The sequence below is a fragment of the Homo sapiens genome, chromosome 13 (genome assembly GCF_000001405.40).
Source record: "Homo sapiens chromosome 13, GRCh38.p14 Primary Assembly".
Classification (NCBI taxonomy): Eukaryota; Metazoa; Chordata; class Mammalia; order Primates; family Hominidae; genus Homo; species Homo sapiens.
In genome coordinates this window covers 64,068,094-64,093,457 of record NC_000013.11, presented here as the reverse complement: position 1 = coordinate 64,093,457, position 25,364 = coordinate 64,068,094, and the positions used below count along the sequence as shown (strand labels likewise).

The 25,364-nt window shown below is 36.6% G+C and overlaps 1 long non-coding RNA gene across 1 annotated transcript in view; it reads left to right on the top strand.

Moving 5' to 3' along the window:
* Positions 1-17,446: 17,446 nt before the first annotated feature.
* The window catches only part of LINC00355 (long intergenic non-protein coding RNA 355), an 89,641-nt gene continuing 81,723 nt past the window's right edge, over positions 17,447-25,364 (top strand). Inside the window, exon 1 of the long non-coding RNA NR_145420.1 lies at positions 17,447-18,216. This is a non-coding gene — a long non-coding RNA (long intergenic non-protein coding RNA 355). The remainder of the gene's footprint in view (positions 18,217-25,364) is intronic.

The window sequence follows — 25,364 nt, the reverse complement described above, 5'->3', positions numbered from 1 at the left end:
TTTGTAGTTAGAACTTGTATTCTTTAATCATTGCTCATTGATTAAGCACAATCTATAGACCTTGAACTCTGATAAATAAAGCAATCTAGTTTTACTACGTAAACATTTTACAAGAAATACAAATCTCCAAAATTGTTTCTGAAAACAAATTATATAGACTACTTTTGGATAAGCACACCAAGGTTTATTTATGTGGTCTTTGACATTTTAATCGTTTTTTTTTTTACCCCTTTTAGATAGGTCTCAAGAACAAATAGAAGACAAATATAGAAATTAATTTTATTATCTTACTTATATTTAAAAGACAGGAGGAAAACTAGAAAATTACATAATATTTGAGACGAAACATTAAATTAAATTTTATATTATTTTTTCCTTTTTGGTAAATTGACATAAAGTTTTTGGTTATTCCCAAAACCTTACGGTAATTACTCCAACCCCTTTCCCTAAATATCTTGCTGTTTCCTAGAAATCCACTGATTATTAGTATTTAATTTTATGTATTATGTATATAATCATTCATGTTCTTTTCATGTATTATGAATTTAAGATCTGAGAAATCTGTAATCAATACCTTATAAGCTCTGTAATCCTCGAGAAACAGAAGTTAAGAGAATAAGGTTTAAAGTTCTAATTTTAACTAATTATCCATAACAAAATTAGTATAGCAATGACACAAGTTTGCCTTTAAATGTATTAACCCACAAATAATAATGTTAAGGGAGAAATGGGGATTCAATTAAAATGGCCGTTAGAGAGTGTGAGAATAATATGAAAATCATCATTTTGTTTTACCTGTTTGTATTATCCTAAGTAAAACTTAAAAGTAATTCAATTCCTTTTGTCTTATGTATATGAAAATCAAATTAACTATCAAAATATAAACAACCTAAATTGAGTTAAATTTTAAGATTATAAGCTTTTTTGAGGGTTATTTGAATGTGCTGTTTTTATCTCAGTGCTATTGTTGTTAATAGAATAAAGAATAGCAAATTTGTGAAAACGTCAATTCATTTTTCATATTCACAGTATAGTTGTGTTATGTTTACTATCAAAGTCAATTGTTATTTATGGCTTTCTTTAAATAAATATTTAAATCATTTTAAATATTTTTGAAAAATTAAGATAAATATTTATTCTTTTCAAGATTACTGTATATGCTTTTTTCCCTCAGGTACTTGTAATGTCAATAAAGGGAAAATACAGTAGTAATTTTGTAGCATTTCTCTAATTTACATATTTTGCCATCTCTAGGTGCTTTCACCCATGCAGAGGAAATTGGTATAAGATAATTTTAGTGTTTGTAGATAATTTAAAATATTCTAGTTTGACTTTCTTTTTCACAGATTAGAAAATTGAGACACGGAGACATAAAATGATTTGACAAGTTTACATGGTAAATTAAAGGAACATTGATAACTCAAGCAGAGATATAAAAACTTCATTTGACTTACAAATGAAAATATTTAATAAATACTTTAATAAATAAATCCTATTTTTGGAATATAGCTCATGCATTTTATGCTAGTTTATGTGCTTTATATGTATTCACTCAATTCTCACATCTTCACATTAATTTTAACCTAAACAAAAAGTTATTATTATCTTCATGTATGAACTTCGGTATGGAAGTGCAGAGAGATTTAGATATGTGTCCAAGACCACATAGCAGAGCTTGGCTTTGAAATCAGTTTCATTTGATCTCACAACCTAAACTATTAAACACAACTCTATACATGAAGATTTCTGTACATAGAATTTATACAACTATAATAAATTGTGTCATTGTACAATTTTGTTTTCTCTCTCTGATATGGTTTGGCTGTGTTCCCACCCAAAATCTCATCTTGAATTGTAATCCAAATTGTAGTCCCCACATGTTGGGGGTGAGACCTTGTGGGAGGTGATTAGATCATAGGGGCGTTTCCCCCATGCTGTTCTCATGATTGTGAGTAAGTTTTCATGAGTTCTGATGGCTTTATAAGGGGCTTTTTCTCCCTTCTCTCATTCTTCTCCTTCCTGCCACCATGTAAAGAAGGACGTGTTTGCTTCCCCTTCTGCCATAATTGTAAGTTTCCTGAGGCCCCACCAGCCCTGCACAACTGTGAGTCAATTAAACTTCTTTACTTTATAAACAAGTCAGTCTTGGGTATGTCCGTATGGCAATGTCAGAATGGACTAATACACTCTATAATCTCTGCCAAGTCTCTTTGTCAACATCTATTTTATCCAAACTATAATATTTATATTCTTCTTCTTTCTAATAGTTCTTCAACTCCCCATCCTATTCAAGCCCTGGATATTCCTAGATCATTAAATCTTGGAATTGGATGGGACCTTGGGGTCTGCTTTAAGGCTTTCATGTTGCATATGAGGAAATTGAAACCTAGTACTTAAAATTACTCGCCTTAGGCCGTACAACTGGTAGATGGTAGGACTACAAATAAAACCATATCTTCTAAAAGGTATATTCTTTTGACAGTATACGTCTTTCCCTTAACATAATGTCTATTTTGCAATGGTAAAAGCATGTCAATCTAAAATTGGATAAGAATAATACTTGAAGGAACAACATGTTTTTTAACTTCTTTTCAAAAAATGAATTATTAACAAACTTGAAATTACAGGCAGAAAGAGTAACCTCCTAAAATACTGACTGCTCTCTTATAATGTAAATAATAATAACAAATACACCATTATGAGTCAAAGCAGTAAGTAATAGCTGGTTTGTAAACTATTTCAAATATTAGAGACTTAATGCCATAAATCATTATTTCTCCCTCAAGTTGCAAGTGGATGATGGTTGCATAACTGTACTGGACACTTCTCTTCAGTGGCAATTGAGGGTATAAAGCGATTGTTTCATGCTGCCCCTTGCTCTCCTCCGGACTCCTTAGAATCCTGTTCTAAATTTTCTGCATTCATCCAGCTACTGTGCAAAAGCAGAGATAAGGAGGATCCTGGAATTTGTTTTATGACAAGGTTTGGATTGATGCACATGATTTCTGACCACATTACATTTAGCCAGACTCCGGTTACATGACTCCCACATAATTATAAGGAAGAATAAAGAAGATAATCTTTCAGTGTCTCTAGGAGTAGAAAATAAAATTGGTGAACATACTGGTATTACAGACCTCAAATTAAACTCTATTTAGGTACACCCCAAAGTGGAATAATATTCTGATAATTAAGGTTATGCTTTTGATGTATCAAATGCATCCAAACAAAATTAATGAAATTATAGAATTTTCATAAATGAATTTAGAAAGCCTGTAAAATATAGCTTATCTAGATACATATTAGTTTTTGGTTCATACAATTTACTCAGTTATGCATAGCTAAATAATTCTATGACAGCCAATTTATGACTGACATTCATATTGCAGATGCTGTATGTAATATCTGTGATGTGAACCCTTGGTATATTTTACTACATATGGCTAAGATCACAATTTGAAATGAGAAAAATTGTAACCTTTTTCTTCCCTTCTTGAGGACATAGTAAATTTCTGTATGTTCTCAAGCATTCATAAAACTTGAATATCACCTCTCTGTTTGCCTTCAGAACCAATTAAAAGTGGAAATTATTCCTATCACTACAACATTCTTCTAGTTAAAGTGAACTCAATGAATAACAAATTTTTGGCATTAGAAGTTTGCTGTGGAAGCTTGCTATTTAAGGTACAAAACATTTTGTACCTTATTTATATGCCCTAATTGGTCATTTGTTGTAACAAATAATTTTCAATTGTAAGATATCAAAGCCATGGAAAACAAGACAATACTATAGACCTACTAGAATATTTACCTGGCTTATAATGCATCCTATTTGTGTGGAAAATGACCTTTACTCATAGCACTGAACCCCCTTAAATCACATGTCATTAATATGCCTTTGACCGCTGACTACAGTTGACTTGGCAATGACAGACCGTGGACACGATTTGAGCCAATTAGAATCTATCTCCTAAAAACATGAGGTGATGTATAGACTCAAGATTTAAGCTTTTGATTTTGTTTTTTAATTGTTGTTGTTGTGTGGTTAGAAGTTTATAGCTTTAACATATAAATTCTGAAAATTTGGATTATCCATGTTCTGCCCTGTGAGTTAAGTTACTCAGAATATGAATCCACAAAAAGAAAAAGACATGAAGTTAATTTACAGGGATAAACCTAAAATGTATAAAGATCCCTGGTTACTTTGTCCAGTGAATTATTCTCTTTTCTGCCCAACATTGGGGTCTATAACATTCTCCTGTGGATTAATTACCTTATATTTATTGTTTAAATTTGGTCAAGAAGGTTTATTTAAGATCAAAAGATATTTAACTGTAACAATTTTACTTCAAAACATCTCTCAGAAACAGGCAAGTTTATTACGTGAAGAAGTATGTCCATTTAAGGTTACACACATTCTTTAATTTGTTTTGAACAATAAACATAATGAAGAGAGTTAGCTCATGTTAACTAGAACAACATAAGCAGAAATGATGTTCGTCTTCAAAACTCTAAAAAGTCAAACACATTTTGAATTTCCAAGCAATGACAGTTTGAATATCACCAACATTGAAGTGACTTGCCTAAAATATTACATACATTTATACACATTATAATATATTATATATACACACATATATGTAATCTGTTTTCTAAACAATTTCCGCATATTTATTGCCCTAGTTTCCTACTGAGTATTGAGAATATATGTAAGAAGAAAAGTATTGCCCAGAAGGCTTAAAGCTGTTGGAGAATTGGCCTGTAGAATTCATTAGGGGAAAGCCTATTTTAGCTCATCCTGAATGAACCTTAGTACTGATGAAAAAACTTCTGGTCTCAAGGTGCAGAACTGTAATTTTCTCTTCATTATGAGCTATAATTGGTAAGTGTGTTAATATTTGTGACTCTCAAAGAAAGGTACTATCACTTGTTATTACCTTTGCAAATATATGTAACAGCGACACTCTCTTTATTCACTGGCAGGTTATGACATTTCAGTGTCATGGTTTGTTTGAAAGAAATGGGATATCATTTTTAGTTATAAATGTGAACGTTCCCCTAGTAACAGGATTATAGCAGGAAATACTTCCCAAGGACAAAATTACAGCTGCCTATTCATTTATCAGAGAGACAATTTTCTGTAAAGTGGACCTCTACACTATGGGTAGCATAGAATGCAATTAATTAATTCTTAGACTTAAAATAAACACACTTTATTCAAGAAATTAATAATGCCCGGCAGGAAAGCCTATTATCATTTCTGAATGATATATTGGCTTTTAATAAAGACCAAACCATTAACAAAAAAACTGAATCTAAAGAAAGAAAAACAATTCTTTCGCCAAATTAATAGTGCTTTTCTCTTTCCATAATTTTTCTTAACTAAAGAAAGTCAGATTTCCATTTAAATCCATTTCATTTAAACATTTTACTGACTGTCACAACTTGCTCCTACTAGCAATAAAGGTTGTATAAGTTGAATAACAGTTTAGATGCTTTATGGTGTTCTATAATAAAGTTCTATCCTTAACCATGCCCTTCTCCCTGCTAGTCTTTCCTCATTCAATGGAAAGAAACTGACGTTTTACAAAACTTGAGGAAATCATGGGAAGCTCTAGTTTTTAAGCTTTTTCTCCCTTTTTTCCTTCCTTCCTTCCTTCCTTCCTGCCTTCCTGCCTGACTTCCTGCCTTCCTTCCTTCCTTCCTGCCTTCCTTCCTGCCTTCCTTCCTGCCTTCTTTCCTTTCTTTCTTCCTTTTTTTAACTGAATAATCTCTCCTTGATGATCTAAGATAATTTAAACAAAATTCTACACCCTTGGTGCTGGCCCTGAAGGCTGCCTTCAAGACATTAAATCATGATCCCAACTGTTCCATTCATTATATTAAAAGTTAAAACATTCAAGGTAAGCAGCAATAAATGATACAATGTTTAATTCTAGTGTTTATCTTCACTGAATCCAGATATATCCACAAGTTCTGGTTTGCTAATCCTCAACTGAAAAATCTAAGCAAAGATGATACTGTAAGAATAAAATTAAGCACCATCCCTTGAAAGATTTACCTTTGCAGGAAAACAGAGATTATATTTTTCTTGTTTACCACCTTGGCAACACCAAGCCTCAGATGAAAAATAAAATAAAACTCTAAGGATAAAATATAAATTTTCTGTGCATGCAAGTATGTACAATCGAAGACAAATGTTTGCTTGTTTTTAGTATCTACATGATGCTGTTTTGCATATTTCCACAACGGGCTCCTTACTTCCTTGGCTGATTTAACTAGAAATTAGAAAGTTTATGGAAGTCAATATTACGGAGCCAACTTGAGCCACAAAGTTTTCATCCTTGTAAATTCTACAATGTGTTCTCTATATGAGATAGATTTATCTTTCTGGTTGTTATCTTGTTACTTTTAAGGTGTAAGCACATACATTTGCAATATATCATGTAGTAAAATTGGATTACTTGTATTTCATATTAATAGCTGGACAAAAGAGTCCAGTAATTACACACATCTGGAAACTGAGTGTTTTCAACAGGAAAGAGAACACTTTCTGTAGAAAAAGAGCACCTTCCTTGTAGTCCAAATGTTTTTATCTTTATCTTGGCTTGGCCATTATATTGTTCTACAAGAAATGCGCCAACTGTTTGGGGCATAATCTGTCTGCTCTGATAAATGTAGAAAATGATCAGAGAAATTCCCTAGTACCAATTCTGTTTCAGCAGGATGATGATGATGATGATGATGATGATGATGATTATTATTATTATTATTTGAGACGGAGTTTTGCTCTTTCACCCAGGCTGGGGTGCAGTGGTGTGATCTCGGCTCACCGCAACCTCTGCCTCCCAGTTTCAAGCAATTCTCCTGCCTCAGCCTCCCAAGTAGCTGGGATTACAGGCGCCCGACACCATGCCTGGCTAATTTTTGTATTTTTAGTAGAGACGGGGTTTCACCATGTTGGCCAGGCTGGTCTCAAACTCCTGACCTCGTGATCCACCTGCCTTGGCCTCCCAAAGTGCTGGGATTACAGGCGTGAGCCACTGTGCCCGGCCTACGATTATTATTTTTAAAATTCATCAAAGTTATGTATTTTCATAGGTTAAGAGTAAAAAAAATCATTAATTTTCATATATAACTCTATATTTTGTACTCCCTCAAAAACAAAACCAATCTACTTTTCTACTTGCTGGGGAAAAGATGCTTACCTATATAAAAGGAAATGAGATGTTGCTTCTTAAAAAGACTTTTAAACAACTCTCTTGTTTTTTAACATCATCTCCTCTACTATTTCAACATTCTTGATGTTTATAATTCTCAGGATTTTGGACCATTCCATAATTTATATAATACTGATTTTGCCCTTCCCAATTGAGCTACCCTATCTGCCTGTAATGAGTTAATACTATTCTATTTGCTTATGGCTATGTTCCAAAATTTGACTCCTGTCTCTTCTTTCTTTTCTCTTTTTTTTGGGGGGTGCGGGGGGTTGGGCAGGGAGGTTCATGCCATTTGTCTTTTACCTTCACTGTGAAGAAATAGAAACTCTACTATATAACTCATCATGTTTTTAAATTGAAAGCAAGGTATAGATTTTAGCATAAGAGTGTTTCATGATGTCACCATATTCACACCTATAGAAACCAGATTTTTATAAGTTCATGAATCATTAAGCTAAAAAATCAAATGATTATATCAATATATGCAGAAAAAGCATTTGACCAAATTTAACACCCATTCATGGTTAAAAAAAATAAAAATAAAAAAACAAAAAAAACTCTCAGTATATAGCAGGAACAGAGGATAACCCCAAATTGATAAAGAATATCTACAAAACACCTACAATTAACATCATTCTTAATGGTAGGAAAGGAAGCATTCACACCAAAACGAGGAAGAAGGCATGGATTTTCTCTATTGCCATGCATTTTAAACATCATACTGGAGGTCCTAGCTAATGCACTAAGAAAAGGAAGTAGAAGGTATATAGTGTAGGAAGGAAGAAATAATACTGTATTTGATAGCAGGTGACAGGATGATCTGTATGAGAAGTTAAAAAAAAAACCCAAAAACTTCCAAAATTTATGTTATTGTAGTAATTTTATAGAATACAAGGTTAATACAGAAAAGTCAATCATTTTCCTGCATACAGGCAATGAACAAGTAGAATTTTAATTTAATAACAAAATACCATTTATATTAGCACCAAAAATGAAATACTTAGATAGAAATCTAACGAAATATGAACAAAATCTAAATGAGGAAAACCACAAAATTCTGATGAAGAAAATCAAATAAAACATAAATGAACAGATACTCTATGTTAATGGATAGGAAGACTATATTGTTAAAATATCAGCTTTTTCCAACTTGATATCTAGGCTCAATAAAATCACAATTAAAATACCAGTGAGCTAGTTTGTGGATATTGACAAGCTGATTCTAAAGACCAATAGCCAATATAATATTGAAGACGAACAAAGTTGAAGGACTGACAGCACCCAACATCAAAAATTACAAAGAAGGTGCAGTAATCAAGGCAGTGTAGTACTAGAGAAAGAACAGACAAATAGATTAATGAAACAAAATAGAGATCTTAGAAGTAACCTCAATAAATATAATCAACTAACATTTGACAAAGGAGCAAAAACAATAAAACAGAGCAAAGATTGTCTTTTCCACATACGGTGCTGGAAGAATTGGACATTCTCAGGCAAAAACAAAATAAATATACATACGGACCCAGACCTTACACCCTTCAGAAAAAGTAACTCATAATGAATCATAGACCAAATATAAAATGTGAAACTATAAAACTCTTAGATGATAACATAGGAGAAAAACGAGATACTCATAGATATGATAATGACTTTTAATATACATTATCAAAGGCAAATCTATTTAAAAAATTGACACACTGGACTTTATTAAAATTAAAACCTTCTGCTCTGTCAAACACAATATCAAGAGTGAAAAAAGATAAGCCACAGACTGGGAGAACTTATTTGCAAAAGACACATCTAATAAAAGATTGTTACACAAAATATACAGAGCACACTTAAAAGTCAAAAAAAAAAAAAAAAAAAGAAAATAACAACTCCATTTAAAAATGAGCCCAATACTTTAGCAGACACCTAACAAAATAAGCTATACAGAGAGAAAATAGGCCATATGATTTCACTCTCAGCCTGAAGGTTGTCGTATACTAATTTTTGTATATTGATTTTGTATCCTGATACTTTACTAAAGTTGTTTGTCAGTTCTAGGAGCCTTTTGGCAGAGTCTTTGGCACTTCCCAGGTATAGAATCATATTGTCAGTGAAGAAAGATAGTTTGGATTTTTCTTGTCCTATTTGGATGCCTTTTATAGCTTTTCCTTGACTGATTGCTCAGGCTAAGCCTTCCAGTACTATGATGAATTGTAGTCTTGACTGTGAGCATTCTTGTCTTGTTCTAGTTCTCAAGGGGAGTGGTTTGAGCTTTTGACCATTCAGTATGATGGCTGTGGGTTTGTCATAGATGGCTTTTATTATTATGAGATATGTTGCTTCAATGCCTAGTCTGTTAAGGTTTTTTTCATTAAGGATGTTGGATTTTCTCAGAAGATTTTGGCCTCTATTGAGACGATCATATGGCTTCTGCTTTTAATTCTGTCTACCTGGTGAATCACATTTATTGATTTACATATGTTGAACCAGCCTTGCATCCCAAGAATAAACCTGCTTGATCATGTTGTCCTAACTTTTTGGTGTGCTGCTGCTAATATATTGTTGAGGATTTTTGTGTCTATGTTCATGATGACTATGTTCATGAGGAATATTGGCCCGAATTTCCCTTTTCCCATTGTGTCTCTGCCAGCTCTTGGTACCAGGCTGATGAAGACTTTATAGAATGAGTCAGAGAGGAGGCTTTCCTCCTTGATTTTTTGGAGTAGTTTCAGTAGAATTGGTATCAGTTCTTATTTGTACACTTGGTAGAATTCAGCTGTCAATCTAGCTAGTCCAGGGCATTTTGTTTTTTGTTTTTTGGTTGGTAGGTTTTTTAAATTACTAATTCAATTTCAAAAGTTGATATTGGTCTATTCAGGGTTCCAATCTCTTCCTGATGCAATCTTGAGAGATTTTGTGCTTCAAGAAATTTATCCATTTCCTCTAGATTTTCTAATTTGTGTGCATAGAATTGGTCATAGTAGTCTCTGAGGATCTTTTGTGTTTTGGTGGGATCTTACAACAGCCGCACACAAAAAATGCAATACCTAGGAATACAGCTAACCAAGGAGGTAAAAATATCTCTATAAGGAGAACTACAAAGCACTACTGAGACAAATCAGAGATGGTAAACCTTCCATGCTCATGGATTGGAAGAATCAATATTATTAAAATGGTTATACTGCCCAAAGCAATTTACAGATTCAATGTTATTTCTATCAAATCGCCAATGTCATTATTCACAGAATTAGAAAAAACTATTCAAAAATTCATGTGAAAGCAAAAAAGAGCCTGAATAGAGAACACAATCCTAAGCAAAAAGAACAAAACTGGAAGCATCACACTACCCGACATTAAACTATACCATAAAGCCCCAGTAACCAAAACAGCCTGATACTAGTATGAAAATAGACACATCGACCAATAGAACATAACAGAAAACTCAGAATTAAAGTCACACATCTACAGTCATGATCTCAATAAGGCTGACCAAAACAAGCAATGGGAAAAGGAATCCTTACTCAGTAAGTGATTTTGAGATAACTGGCTAGGCATATGAAGAAGAATAAAACTGGACTCCTTCCTTCTACCATGTACAAAAATGAATTCAGAATGAATTAATGATTTAAATGTAATACCTCAGACTATAAAAATCCTGGAAAACAACCTTCTTGACATTGGAATTGGCAAATACTTTTTGGCTAAGTCCCAAAAGCAACTGCAACAAAAAACAAAATAGACAGCAGGACATAATTAAACTAAAGAGCTTCTAAACAGCAAAAGAAACCATCAACAGAACAAACCACCTACAAAATGGGAGAAAGTATTTGTAAACTATGCATCTAACGAATGCCTAATATATGGAATCTACAGAAAACTTAAACAAATCAACAAGCAAAAATCAAATAACCACATTAAAAAATGGCAAATAACATGAACAGACAATTCTCACAAGAAGACATATAAGTGGCCAACAAACATATGAAAATATGCTCATCATCACTAATCATCAGAGAAAGGCAAATGAAAACTAAAATTACATACCACTTCACATCAGTAAGAATCGCCATTACTAAAAGGTCAAAAAACAACAGATGCTGCCAAGGTTGTGGAGGCAAGGGAATGTTTACGTACTGTTGGTGGGGATGTAAATTAGTCCTGCCTATGTGGAAAGCAGTCTGGAGATTTTCCAAAGAACTTAAAACATACTTATTATTTGACCCAGCAATACCATTACTGGGTATACACCCAAAGGAAAATAAATCATTCAACCAAAAAGACATATGCACTCATATGTCCATTGCTGTGCTACTCACAATAGCAAAGACATAGTATCAACCCAGGTGCCCATCGATGGTAGATTGGATAAAGAAATTGTAGTACATATATGCCATGGAATACTATGCAGTCATAAAAAACAATGAAATCATATTTTTTTAGCAACATGGATAGAGCTGAAAGCCATAATATTACACAGGAAAAGAAAGCCATAATTTTAACAGCTGGAAGTCGTAATGTAACACAGGAACAGAAAGACAAATACTGCATGTTTTCACTTATAAGTAGAAGCTAAAATTGAGCACATATGGATATAAATATGAAAACAATAGAGACTACAAACTACTAAAGGTTTGGGGGGAGTGAGTTAAATAACTACCTATCAGGTACTATGTTCACATCTGTGTGATCGGAATCATACTCCAAATGTTAGCATCACACTATAATCCCATATAACAAACCTGCATGGGTACCCCAAGTAACTAAAATAAAAGGCGAAGCTTAAAAAACAGTAGGCATATAAAAAGATACTCCACATCATATGTCATTAGGGAAATGGAATTTAAGACAACAATGGAAGACCACCACATACCTTTTAGAATGGCCAGAATTCAAAATACTGACAACAAATCCTGGTGAGAACTTGGAGGGAGAGGAACTCTCATTGCTAATATATGGAATCTACAGAAATCTCCTACTTTGGAGAACAGTTTAGTGGCTTCTTACAAAACTAAACATATCATTATCACACAATCCAGTAGTCATAGTCCTTGATGTTTGCTCAAAGAGTTGAAAACTTATGTTCACACAAAAACCTGCACATAGATGTTTATAGCAGCTTAACTCATAATTGCCAAAACTTGGAAGCAACCAAGACACTCAGTAAGGCAACTGATACATAAAGTGTGGTATATACCTAGACAATGGAATGTTATTTAGCACTAAAAGTAAATTGGCTGTCAAACCATGAAAAGACATACGGAAAACTTAAATACATATTGCCAAGCCATAAAAGCCAATATGAAAAGACCATATACTGTATGAGTCCAAATATATAACATTCTGGAAAAGGTAAAAATATGGAGACATTAAAAAGTTTAGTGTTTGCTAGAGGTGCAGGGAAGGGAAGGATGAATAGGGGGAACACAGGAAATGTTTAGGGCAGTAAAAATACTCTTTATATACTATAATGATGGAAATATGTCATTATACATTTGTCCAAACCAGTATGAACTTTGGGTAATTATAATGTGTCAATGTAGGTTCATCAATTGTTATAAATATACCACTCTGGTGGAGGATGTTGATAATGGGGGAAGTTATGCATGTGTGGGGACAGAGAGAACATGTGAAATCTCTGTGCCTTTCTCTCTGTTTTTCCATGAACTTAAAACTGCTCTAAAAATAATGAATACTTTTAAAAACTGCCTGGAAAATTTAAAAGATAAAAATCATGAGAAAGAAAACTGTAAAGCAAATTTTTCCACAAGTTCAATAATTATTTTGATAAAAATTTATAAATAGAAATTTATAATTATACAGTTGGATGATTTTTACAAAGATCATATAACCATTCAACTTCCATCCAGGAAAAGAAGTAGAATATTACCAGCATGTAAGGCACTTAATTCAACCACCATATCACCTCCTAATCAGCAATCCTTTCTTCTCACAAAAACTTTCAGTACTAAAAGAGATTAATTTACAGTTTTAAATATATTTTACAGCAAAGATACATAATTATATGTATTCAAAAATCGGATCTATAATGATATTAGTCATGTCACATCAAAGCATGTGTCACATATCAGTCCATAAAAATTTCTTGGGCCTGGCGCAGTGGCTCATGCCTGTAATCCCAGCACTTTGGGAGGCCAAGTCAGCCAGATCATGTGAAGTCAGAAGTTCGAGACCAGCCTGGCCAAAACGGTGAAAACCCATCTCTACTAAAAATACGGGCAGGTGCCTGAATTCCGAGCTACTCAGGAGGCTGAGGCAGGAGAATCACTTGAACCTGGGAGGCAGAGGTTGCAGTGAGCAGAGATCGTGCCACTGCACTCCAGCCTGGGAGACAGGGCAAAATTCCATTTCACAGAAAAAAAAAAAAAAATTATTGGCTTTCACTTTCATTCTGAAATCTAGGTGATCAAAAGTTCTTAATTATAGTCTGACATACAGAAAAGACTTTTAAGATTATTCCCTAGGAAGGTATAAATATCAGACATATGAATCTATAATATCCAGTGGACCCAGGTTCAGGATTGCCATTTTGTAGTTACCACAAAGAAAATAAACAGAAATTTTACATGAAGTTAGATTTCTTAACTGTTTTGAGGGTTAAGGAAAATAATTAATACTTGCAAAAAATATACATTTTTTAAAAACTGAAATATGATATACATTTTAATGTTATCATACTAGGTATGAAGGGAAATTACTGATAGTCCCATATACTCATCTCCCTAGAAACATATATATATATATATAGCAGTTTGGAACAGTTGTCAATACCTTGTATTCTAGAAATATTCTGGAAAACGTTCTTGATTTATAGAACATAATCTTTATTTAGGACTATAATTTATTCCAAGTTTAAACTGCCTATAAGGTTGCATTATCAGAACTGCATTCAACTTTATGTAATTTTGAAAACTGTGTACTACTTATTGTTCAAAATAAATCTTAAAATAATGTTAATCCCCTTAAAAATGTTAAGTCCATTGAACTTAAACTCAAAATTGGACAAAGCCAGAAAAGTAGGGGCATACAACCGGGAATCATAATTTATTTTACGTAAGGTAGGTGCACTTTAACACAGTATTAATGCTTTAAATTTTTTGATGCAGGAGCAAACACATCGCCCATTTTCTAGTTAATTTATAGTTATACAAGTATTTAATCAACATAAATTTTAACATTGAGAAAATCTTACCTTGTGAAAAATATTGATGGCATCAGCATCCTGTCTTGAGCAGCCACTGCCATGATGCCGGCTGCAGTGGGGCAGGCTCAGCCGGGGCTGTGCTCCAGGGAGCTGGCAAAAACTGGGAAAAGGTGGAATCCCTGTCTCCTTCGAGTTGGCACGGCAGGAGCCTCCTGCTCCCCGGGCAAAGCTGCGGCCGCCCAGCCGAGGCTCGGGACCCAGGCATCTCTGTGCTCCTGGGGGCCAGGAACAGTCAGGAGCCCAGCCCGGACAGGAGCCCCGCCCTTCCGGGCGCAGCTGCAGCCCAGGCCACAGCTGCTGGCCGGGGTGTCTCTGTGTTTTCAGGGGCCTAGAATCCCCCCTGCCCCCGTAGGTTTGGCAGTGCCTGCTCCGGCTGTCTGGCCTCTCTCCGTTCCCAGCACCCACTCTGATCTTGGAGCAGAATATAGGCTGAGCCCAGGCGCTGTCACGACCTGGCCGGCTGTGCGTGTGCTCAAGACAGCATTGACATGCCCGCCCCTTGCCGCCTCTGCCCCCTTCAGACTTTGGGCACCGACAACCACAGGAGGGAGTCTGACAGAGGGGGCTGAGGGCAACCTGGCACTGGCTTGCAGATACCACTCAGCACAAACAACCTAGGCAATGGCAGGAGGTAGATAAACTCCAGGGTGAAAAGAATCAGGTCCCCTTTGAAGCCTCACCTTCAAGCCAAGGATGGCGTGAAGCCTGAGGGCTGGGCTGATGGACAAGGATGTGAACTTATGACGCTTTCTGTGGGCCTGTCTATGGCCTCCCATGAACCAATCAGCATGCACTTCCTTCCCTCTGAACTCATAAAACCCCTCGGAACTAGCCAGACTCAAGGAGACAACTAGACCACCTGCCCATGGAGAGACTTCCGGGCTACCAGCTGCGGAGAGTTGCTACTCACTCCAGGCTCTCCTCTGCTGAGAGCTGAGTAGAGTCTGGACTACCAGCTGTGGAAGGCATGAGAGGTGACAGCGTGCTGGCAGTCCTCACAGCCCTCGCTCGTTCTCGGCACCTCCTCTGCCTGGGCTCCCAATTTGGCGGCACTTGAGGAGCCCTTCAGCCCGCCGCTGCACTGTGGGAGCCCCTTTCTGGGCTGGCCAAGGCCGGAGCCAGCTCCCTCAGCTTGCGAGGAGGTGTGGAGGGAGAGGCGCGGGCGGGAACCGGGGCTGCGCGCGGTGCTTGCGGGCCAGCGCGAGTTCCGGGTGGGTGTGGGCTTGGCGGACCCCGCACTTGGAGCGGCCGGCCGGCCCCACCGGCCCCGGGCAGTGAGGGGCTTAGCACCTGGGCCAGCAGCTGCTGTGCTCAATTTCTCTCCGGGCCTTAGCTGCCTTCCCATGGGGCAGGGCTCGGGACCTGCAGCCCGCCATGCCTGAGCCTCCCCTCCGTCCGTGGGCTCCTGTGCGGCCCAGCCTCCCCAACGAGTGCCGTCCGTCCCCTGATCCACGGCGCCCAGTCCCATCGACCACTCAAGGGATGAGGAGTGCGGGCGCACGGCACGGGAGTGGAAGGCAGCTACACCTGCAGCCCCGGTGCAGGATCCACTGGGTGAAGCCAGCTGGGCTCCTGAGTCTGGTGGGGACGTGGAGAACCTTTATGTCTAGCTAAGGGATTGTAAATACACCAATCAGTGCCCTGTCAAAACGGACCACTCAGCTCTACCAATCAGCAGGATGTGGGTGGGGCCAGATAAGAGAATAAACGCAGGCTGCCCGAGCCAGCAGTAGCAACCCCCTGGGGTCCCCTTCCACACTGTGGAAGCTTTGTTCTTTCGCTCTTTGCAATACTTGCTGCTGCTCACTCTCTTTTGGTCCACACTGCCTTTATGAGCTGTAACACTCACCGGGAACGTCTGCAGCTTCACTCCTGAAGTCAGCGAGACCACGAACCCACTGGAAGGAAGGAACAACTCCAGACGCGCCACCTTAAGAGCTGTAACACTCACCGCGAAGGTCTGCAGCTTCACTCCTGAAGCCAGCGAGACCACGAACCCACAGGGAGGAACGAACAACTCCAGACGCGCCGCCTTAAGAGCTGTAACACTCACCGCGAAGGTCCGCAGCTTCGCTCCTGAGCCAGCAAGACCACGAACCCACCAAAAGGAAGAAACTCCAAACAGATCTGAACATCAGAAGGAACAAACTCCGGACACGCCACCTTTAAGAACTGTAACACTCACCTTGAGGGTCGGCAGCTTCATTCTTGAAGTCAGTGAGACCAAGAACCCACCAATTCCGGACACAGGGAGCTAGCCACTCCGTGGTTTCTGCTCTGCTGAGAACTGAGCAGACTTTGGGACTACCAGCTCCAGAGAGGAGCTACCCACTGCAGAGTTCCTCCAGGCTGTTCATTTTTCCTCCCCTGTCCTCTCTTTGCAGATGGGTAATCATGTCTCTGCACCACGGGACACTCCCCTCTGAGGCATAAAAGTTTAATTTTTGGCCTGGCACGGTGGCTTATGCCTGTAATCCCAGCACTTTGAGAGGCCGAGGCGGGCGGATCACCTGAGGTCAGTAGTTCGAGACCAGCTTAGCCAACATAGTGAAACCCAGTCTCTACTAAAAATACAAAAATTAGCTGGGCATGGTGGCACGGGCCTGTAATGCCAGCTACTCGGGAGGCTGAGGCAAGAGAATCGCTTGAACCCAGGAGGCGGAGGTTACAGTGAGCCGAGATCGCGCCACTGCACTCCAGCCTGGGTGCAGTGAGACTGCGGCTCAAAAAAAAAGAATTCTTACCAGTTGAACCTCTGGCTTCTTTCTCTCTGTCTGTGAAAACATGGTTGTAGATTCTCTCTCCTCCATGACTCCATGACTTCCCTTTTACTGGGAACCTATGCATAGGACTCTGAGAGAGATCTGTCATTTTCCCCAAAACCAGGCCCCCTGTCAGCATGAAGCAGTTAGATATACCTCTTCAGAGATGTGATTGATGGCAGCGGCAGCCCATCTGGACCAGCCACTGCCGTGACGCCATCAGTGTGAGACGTGTAGCTAGGGCTGTGCACTCCACAGAGCTGGTGGGAGCTGGGAATAGGTGAAAACCCTGCCTCCTTGTGAGTTGGCAGGACGGGAGCCTCCTGTTCCCTGGCTGCTGTTGTGGCCACCGAGCCGCAGCCCTGGAGCCAGGCATCCCTGTGCTTGGGGATCAGAGCGAGCAGGAGCAGATCCTCTCCCTTCTGGGTGCAGCTGCAGCTGCCCAGCCATGGCTGTGGTCCCGGAAGTCTCTGTGCTCTTGGGAGCTGGGAGGGCCCTCTGCCTCCTGCCCCTTACGCACTCCAGAGTCTCCTCTCTGTTGAGAGCTAAGCAGACATCAGGACTACCAGCTGCAGAGAGGAGCTACCCACTGTGGGCTTCGTCTCTGCTGAGAGCTGAACACTCACTGGGACGCCCTGCCTATGGAAACCAGCTGTTCACTCTGGGTCTCCTCTGAGCTGTTCTGTCGCTCAGTAAAGGTCTTCTTCTGCTTACTCGCCCTCCATTTGTCTGCCTTACCTCATTCATCCTGGACACAGGACAAGAACTTGGGACTTGCCGGTATGGTGGAGCTAAAATAGCTGTAACACAAACAGGATTGAAACATGCCCCTTGCTCGCCACATTGTGGATGACAAGAGGGAGGGAAGAAAGGAGAGAAGATCTGCGACCCTTCGGCAAACCCAGACTTAGGAGATCGGAGAGCCAAGACTGTGACACCCTTTCTGGGGCTCTGTGGTTCCTGGCGTCTCCAAGCTTCTGGGCACCTCGGCTTTCCCCGGTGCCAGTCGTGGAAGCTGCTTGTGGTAAGTCTGGTCCAATAGCCTCACAGTAAGCCAACGTCCATGCTGGTGCCTGGGGCTTCCCACCCCACTGCAGCTGGCATGCCTGGCTAGGCACAATGGCTAGATCTTGTGCTTGCTTGCTTGCTCACATACCCATCACCGCTCTGCACCTTACTCACCCTTACAGGCGTGAGATTTGGGCCAGTAGTGTGAGCCAAACCCAGCCTGCCAGGCCTGGTGGGTGGAATGAGCTCATGGGGCCTGAGCAAAACTTGGGCAAAGGCACCGACAGCCACAGAGGTTTCCGGCTGGTGAAGTGACACATCAAATATCCCGTGACAATATCAATTTTCTAAACACACATTTATAATGCATATATAATTGGAAAGCTGTACTGGTTCTCAATATAAATCCTAATTGGAAAACTTAGTTATATAAAGAAATTCATTGCATTTCAAATGAGATTAATGTCTCTTGAAAATTATACATATATGTGTGTATATATATATATATCTCAAAAGATTTGTTTTAAATGAAATATGTTCTAACACATGATTTTAATTACAATTAATAATTTCATCTCATGTAGTAATTTTCTAAATGTCTGATATCTTACAGGTGTTTTACCTTCTTGCAAGAAACTATAGCATAAACAAAATATAACAAAACAAAAAACCTAAGCCCATGCTATTATTTTAAGCCATTCTGTTTCACTACTATGGCAACAATAGTTACAATGTGAACTCATTTAGCACATATTTATTTAGAGTTTATTATATGTCAGGCACACTAATCATGAGACAACACCCTTTGAAGAGCTTGTAGTTGATGACAGTCTATGAAAGTTAAATTTAACAAAGGACTGCAATAGTTCTATGTATTACAAACTAAATGCAAACAGGTCATAATTTTTTGTGTGATCATTTCCTTACCCGTATAAGTTTCTCTTTATAAAACTTATCTTTTGGAATGCATTCTATCATTTCACCATTAAGTAGCAACCAACAGATGATATTTTCTTTTTTTTGTTTTGTTTTCTTAATAGAATAATATGTGCATATATATATATATATATATATATATATAGGCCTCTCTATATAGTATAGTGTATATATATAGTATAGTGTATATATATATAGTATAGTGTATATATATATAGTATAGTGTATATATACTATAATATGTGCATATATATATATATATATATATAGTATAGGCCCATGTTTTAGGCCTTTTTAAATTGACAAAATTATCTGATAGATTGTTATAAATGCTTATATTTGAAAATTGTAAGAACGTTTTCTTCTATGCAGTAGCACAAAAGATTGGTAGTAGTGGTTGTAAAAATTGCACTTCGAAAAACAACATTCATTTATTTCTTCCATTTAGCAATCTACTCTTTCTGTGATCTCATCTTATACATCATCTCTATTTAAAATTGCAGCTATAAATTCTAAATTTCTCTTTACCCTTATTGCTTATTATTACTCCAGCCTAATATCCTGATTTCTTCTTCTCAGTTGATAATGTGACTTCAAATTCTATCAACAAATTTCATTAGTAGTTTAGTTTAAAACAATTTGGTTAGTACAGAACACAGTAAAATTAACCTTTACTGACCACTCAATGTACTGTGTAAAGAGTGCTCGCACCAATTTGTTTTCTCTTCTTTTTTTTTTAATTTAAAGAAAATACCAATCAATTAAAAACAAATAGTAACAAACTCCAAATATCCCTAAAGGCTTGTGAATTTATTGGAGAAGGTTAAAGAGTTTCTGAAAAATAGATTAGAGGTTAAATAGAATACTGCAGAAAATAAAATCACCTAGAGGAAACTAGGATGAGGAGGTCAGTTGATTTAACCTATTGTGTTGATCTAGACTTCTGGGAAAGGGGAATGCCCTCCAGTGAAAACCTGCACATATGTTCAAAAAGATTAAACCTGAAACTCACATAATCTCATTCCATGGCTTCCATTTCATTTTAATATTCCAATAGATTAATTTCCTTTGAACCATATTTTTCCTTATTTAATATTGTTTGCATAATTTGCTGCTGTAGGATTTTACGGTTTTAAATATCAATAAATATTCCAATTGTTAAATAGTGCTAAGGTGTGGTAATCTGAAAAGTGCTGACCATAAATATTAAAATGTTTAAAAGAGAAATGGACTTCTAAAAACCACACATAATACACACAATGCAAAAATCACAATCACTGCCAAGAAACAAATAAATTAATTTTTATAGTAATATTGTTGTTCTTTTCAGTGTACAGAAAATTTTCCAAGGAATTAAAAATACAAAATGTTACATCTGTAGACCAATTACACAAGTACATAAGTCTGTAGATCAATTACACAAGTATATTTAAATCTAAATATAGTCATAATACTAATATATTAATATCAATAAAAATATTCTAATATTTGTGGAACTATCAAAAACAGCACAGTAAATACAATATTTTCTTTTAATTTATTGCCTTGCTTTATAAAAAACATTTTCAAAGAAGGGTAGAGACTGTTTATGAAATTGTGAAGAATATTAGTTATCCTTTCAGGTACTTTAGGCATTGATAACACAATGATTTATTAGGTAGACTTAGTTTTGCTTCAAACTCACTTTGTTTTCCTTCTCTTTGAAATGGGTATAATTTTTAACCATTAAAAAAACTGTCTCACAAACAGAAATGCAAGTGACAAAGGAATTTTTCTGGTAGAACCTAGACAAGAACCAAAATAAAAAAATAAAAACATGAAATGTGATTTTGAAATATTTAAGATGATTGTTAGAGAAACATTGTTACATTTCATATTATTCAGTAATCCTGTATGATAAAGTAGCTGTTTTTTCATAAATAATTATGTTCAGTTTCCTGTTTGATAACGCAAAATGTTTCACTGTTTTAATTTCATATATTCTTTCATATTTCACAATATGCTTCTTGTGTGTAGCAGAAACCAGATTCAATAGCTACATATCTAGTTGACTTCATATGCATTTACTTCAATGGACTTCAACTTATTTGGCCCTAAAATAGCTTTTCATTGTTTTTCCCTTGGTATAAAACACCTTATTCCTCTGTATTCCTCTGTTTCTACTGGCATTGTTACTAAATAAAAGGAGAAATTATCTACAGGCACATAATTCCTAAGATCCCACCTCTTCTACAACTCCTATCTCTGTTACTTCAATTTCAAAAGCCACAAAATGACATTATTTTTTCAGTCGTACTTGTAAAAATTATGTACAAATCTTCAAAATAAATTTCAGTTAAAAAAAGTATGTACACAAAATCTTCTACCCAATGAATAAGATATTTGGAATTGGTTAAAATTATTAGTTATAGACTAAGCAAATATATTATATTTTAACCTGCCTTATATCTTTCATCTCTTCTATATCTGTTCATGTAATATTGAACATACATACATATATACATACAAAAAATATTTTATTGGAGTGTTATTTATAGTAGTCAGTATAATGGTCCTCCAGAGATATCCATATTCGAATCCCTGGAACATGTGAATATGCTACTTTTCATGATAAAGAGGTATTAATGTAGCAGATGGAATTAAAGTTGCTAGTCAATTAACCTTAAAATTTGGAGATGATATTGAATTATCTGAAAAAAATTGAATGTAATCACAAAGATTCTGAAATGTGGAGGAAAGGAGCAGAAGAGGAAATTAGGGTGATGAAATGTGAGTAGAACTCAACCTGCTGTAGTTGGGCTTTGAAGATGGATAAAGAGGTTAATGAGCTAAAGAATATGGTAGCTTCTAGAAGTTGAAAAGGGGAAGAAAATGGATTCACCCCTACAACCTCCAGAAAAAAATGCAACCTTGCTGATGCTTTAATTTTAGCCTAGGGAGATGCATTTCAGATTTCTTTCCTTCAAAAATTAAAGTAATAAATTTGTGTTAAGTCACTAAATTTGTGGCAATTTGTTACAGCAACTATTGAAAACTAATACACAGTCTCTAAATAGGGGAGAAACTCACTAAATGTAAGAAGTTAGACGGGTTATAGTTGAACAAAACTGTTTAAAATAAAACTACAATATTTCACATAAAATCATATCAAAGAGTATTAAGAGTTTCTTTATCTTTTATCTTTCTCATTGCACTCTGAAGACCAAATATGTCAGTTATGGTTCATAGTTGCAAACAGGAATAGACTTGAAGGTTTTTAGCAGAATGATTTTTTGAAGGACATTAGATGATTCATGAATAGTCTTAGAAAATATACAGAAGTTAACAGAAGTGAGGCAGCGTGAGGATCAAAAATCATACCAAAAGGCACCCAACTTTGGATACCACTTCTGTCACAGATGGATTGCCGAGTCCACTCCTCCAGCTCCTCCTGGATATGTCTCACAGTCCTTGCCACTGTAAGAGTTTTCTAACTTGCTCCTGAGTCATTGACATTCAGTATGCAAAGTCCCACCCAGGTGTAAATATCTGGAAGATCAAAACTAATGCATGTACTCACACCTTAGATTCCAGGATTGTGGAGAAAAAAATAACTGGTTTGATGTCACTTCTTTGGAAGAAGGTTGGTCCCTGTCTTTTGTCAAAACTTATAGAATGAGAGCTCCTCACATAACAGAGGAGTCTGTATGCTAAGTACCTCATAAGTACTTAAATTTAATTTTAAATATATTTATTTATTTTATAATTATTGTCATTCCATGGTATAGATGAGGAAGCTGAGGTTCAGATTAATGTTAAGTAATTTGCCTTAAGCCATTTAAGTAGTAATGAGAAATAAAGGCAATCTTCAGATGCCTGATTCTCATTTGCTGCAAGCATGGTGCCTAAAATTCAGCATATATGTAATGTATTGGAGTAGGAAAATTAATATTTAAAAATTATAATAATAATTAAGGGTAAACATTGGCTTCATAATAACACACATTTTAATTTCAATGTTAATTTGTAATTTAATTTTACTCTTACATTTTAAGTACACTACACTAATTGTTTTAGTGGATACATTCTCACTCATAGTGTCCAGTTGATCGAAATACTAGAAATCCTTAATTGTAATAACTGATTGAACTTTTGTAATCCTAAGTCCTGACCTGCCTATAGTACAAAAAAAAAAAAAAAAGCATGGCTTTTCAGTGACAGGTAAATAGTTCCTGTTTACTTAAACTTCACTTGTCTACCAAGGCTGCATTCTGTCTGCATTTATTTCCAGGCTCTGGGTACACAGGAAGAGGGTCATTTTCCATGTGGAGCCTGAGGTTGAGTGTGAGGGTACCATGCAACTTCATATCTGATTTTGATTGACTATTCTGGGTCCTTATGGCCTCCAAGGCTTCACTACCCAGATTTAAGAGACTAAAGCTAATTCAGAAAAAAACTATGCAAAGAAATTGCATAGTTAAAACATAATCTATTTTATGTATTTTGTACAGCATATATAGAAAAATGAATTATCTCCACTTTGTAGTCTGTAATAATTTTCAATATTTATGCTTTGTTTAGAGATAATAAGCTGACTTCTGATAACCCGCGTTAGATTCTATCACAAGGAAATATGCATTTTACAATATCTTTTATTATGCATCTGTCAAATTTGCTTTCTTAAGCACATATAATACGTAGATTGTAGCCCATGTAAAACTTACTGAAGCTAAATACTTTCACATAAAGCGCTTTTAGTTAATCAGTCTTTCGGAGCTCTTAAAACAAGTGCTTCTATAAAACTGCATCACATTTAAATGCTGATTCCATCATATACACTTCACACTCTTTGTTGCCTGTGAAGATTGATTGGCTTCTGTTGCAGTACAAAATGAAATTCAAATTTATAATTTAAATAAATGTAGCTTCCCTTACAATGCTTCTGCTTGAAATGAGAGCCTCCACCCTTGTCCATAAAATCTTCTCTAAAAATGAGACTGTATTTCTCTGCTTACTGGTGGGCATCAGGTCATCAAAATGAAGGCCTTAGAAATGAAAAACTAATCTTAGCAATTATGGCATGACCCTCAGGTGGTATTTAGAAAACAGGAAATCCTCAATGAAAACAATCACAAAGACTAACCTTTGGCTTAATGGCACCCAATTTCAGTAAAGTAAAATTCTCAGGATGAGTTCACTTGGCTGTATGGCCTATGAGATCAATAAAATAGCAAATTATCCAGCCAATCCTCAGACCTTTGAAAGACTTTACTACACAGAAGAGTTACACAGAATGTTGAGGGTTGTATTACACAAAAAGAACAAAACTACAACCTCACTGTGGGGCAGGATTATTTCTTATATCTTGTTTACAGGGAAGGCAGTTTGGACACTCTTGGAGGAGAGAGAAAGTGAAGACTTGACCAAAAGTCATGTGGGAATGGATTCTCATGAATGGGAGGGAGCTCAAGTTTTTGTGCTGACTGATATGACCAGAAATAGAAGGAAAGGGAGAATGCTTTTAGCTCTGGAAATCTTTAAGGCAGAAAATATTGCTGGTGTGTGTATGTGTGTGTGTGTGTGTATGTTTGTGTGCATCTGTGCATTTATGCATGGAGAGGTTCTAGGTGCACATAAAATTCTGTGGTTCCCTTTCTACCATTGCTTATGCCAGCCTGGGGAAAACTATCTTTTCTTATGCATGCCTGAATTTTAATTCAAAGATTATAGATAGCTTTTATGAGAGACACAGTTTTGTGATCCCAAAATAGTAAAGAATCCATGGATGATTTGACACTAACTCCTGATTTCTTTGTTTCTACTAGTATAGCTAACACTTATGAATAAAAGCCAAAATGCATGGTACCAAGACATGTATCATTTTGTAATACTGTAGTCACAGATTAAATAAATTTTCATAATAATTCATACAATTTGACTTACAAACTGCCTTTCTTCTACATTGCCATATTACAAACTAGATTTCTAAATTATGATGTACCTATGGAATTTAATACACATGCCTGTAATGGAACTTGGAAAATATAATACCATGACTATTGCAGATGGACTCATTATGATTGTAAATAATGAGTCCTGTGTTAGAAGTGCCATATCGTGACCTTGTAATATTTGACTGCAATTACCCTGTCCACTGGCCTATATAGGAAACTGCCTTTTCTGCTATAATCTTACATGCAGGAAAAATTATGGTCATAGAGACATATTCTCCTTAATGATAAAATAAAG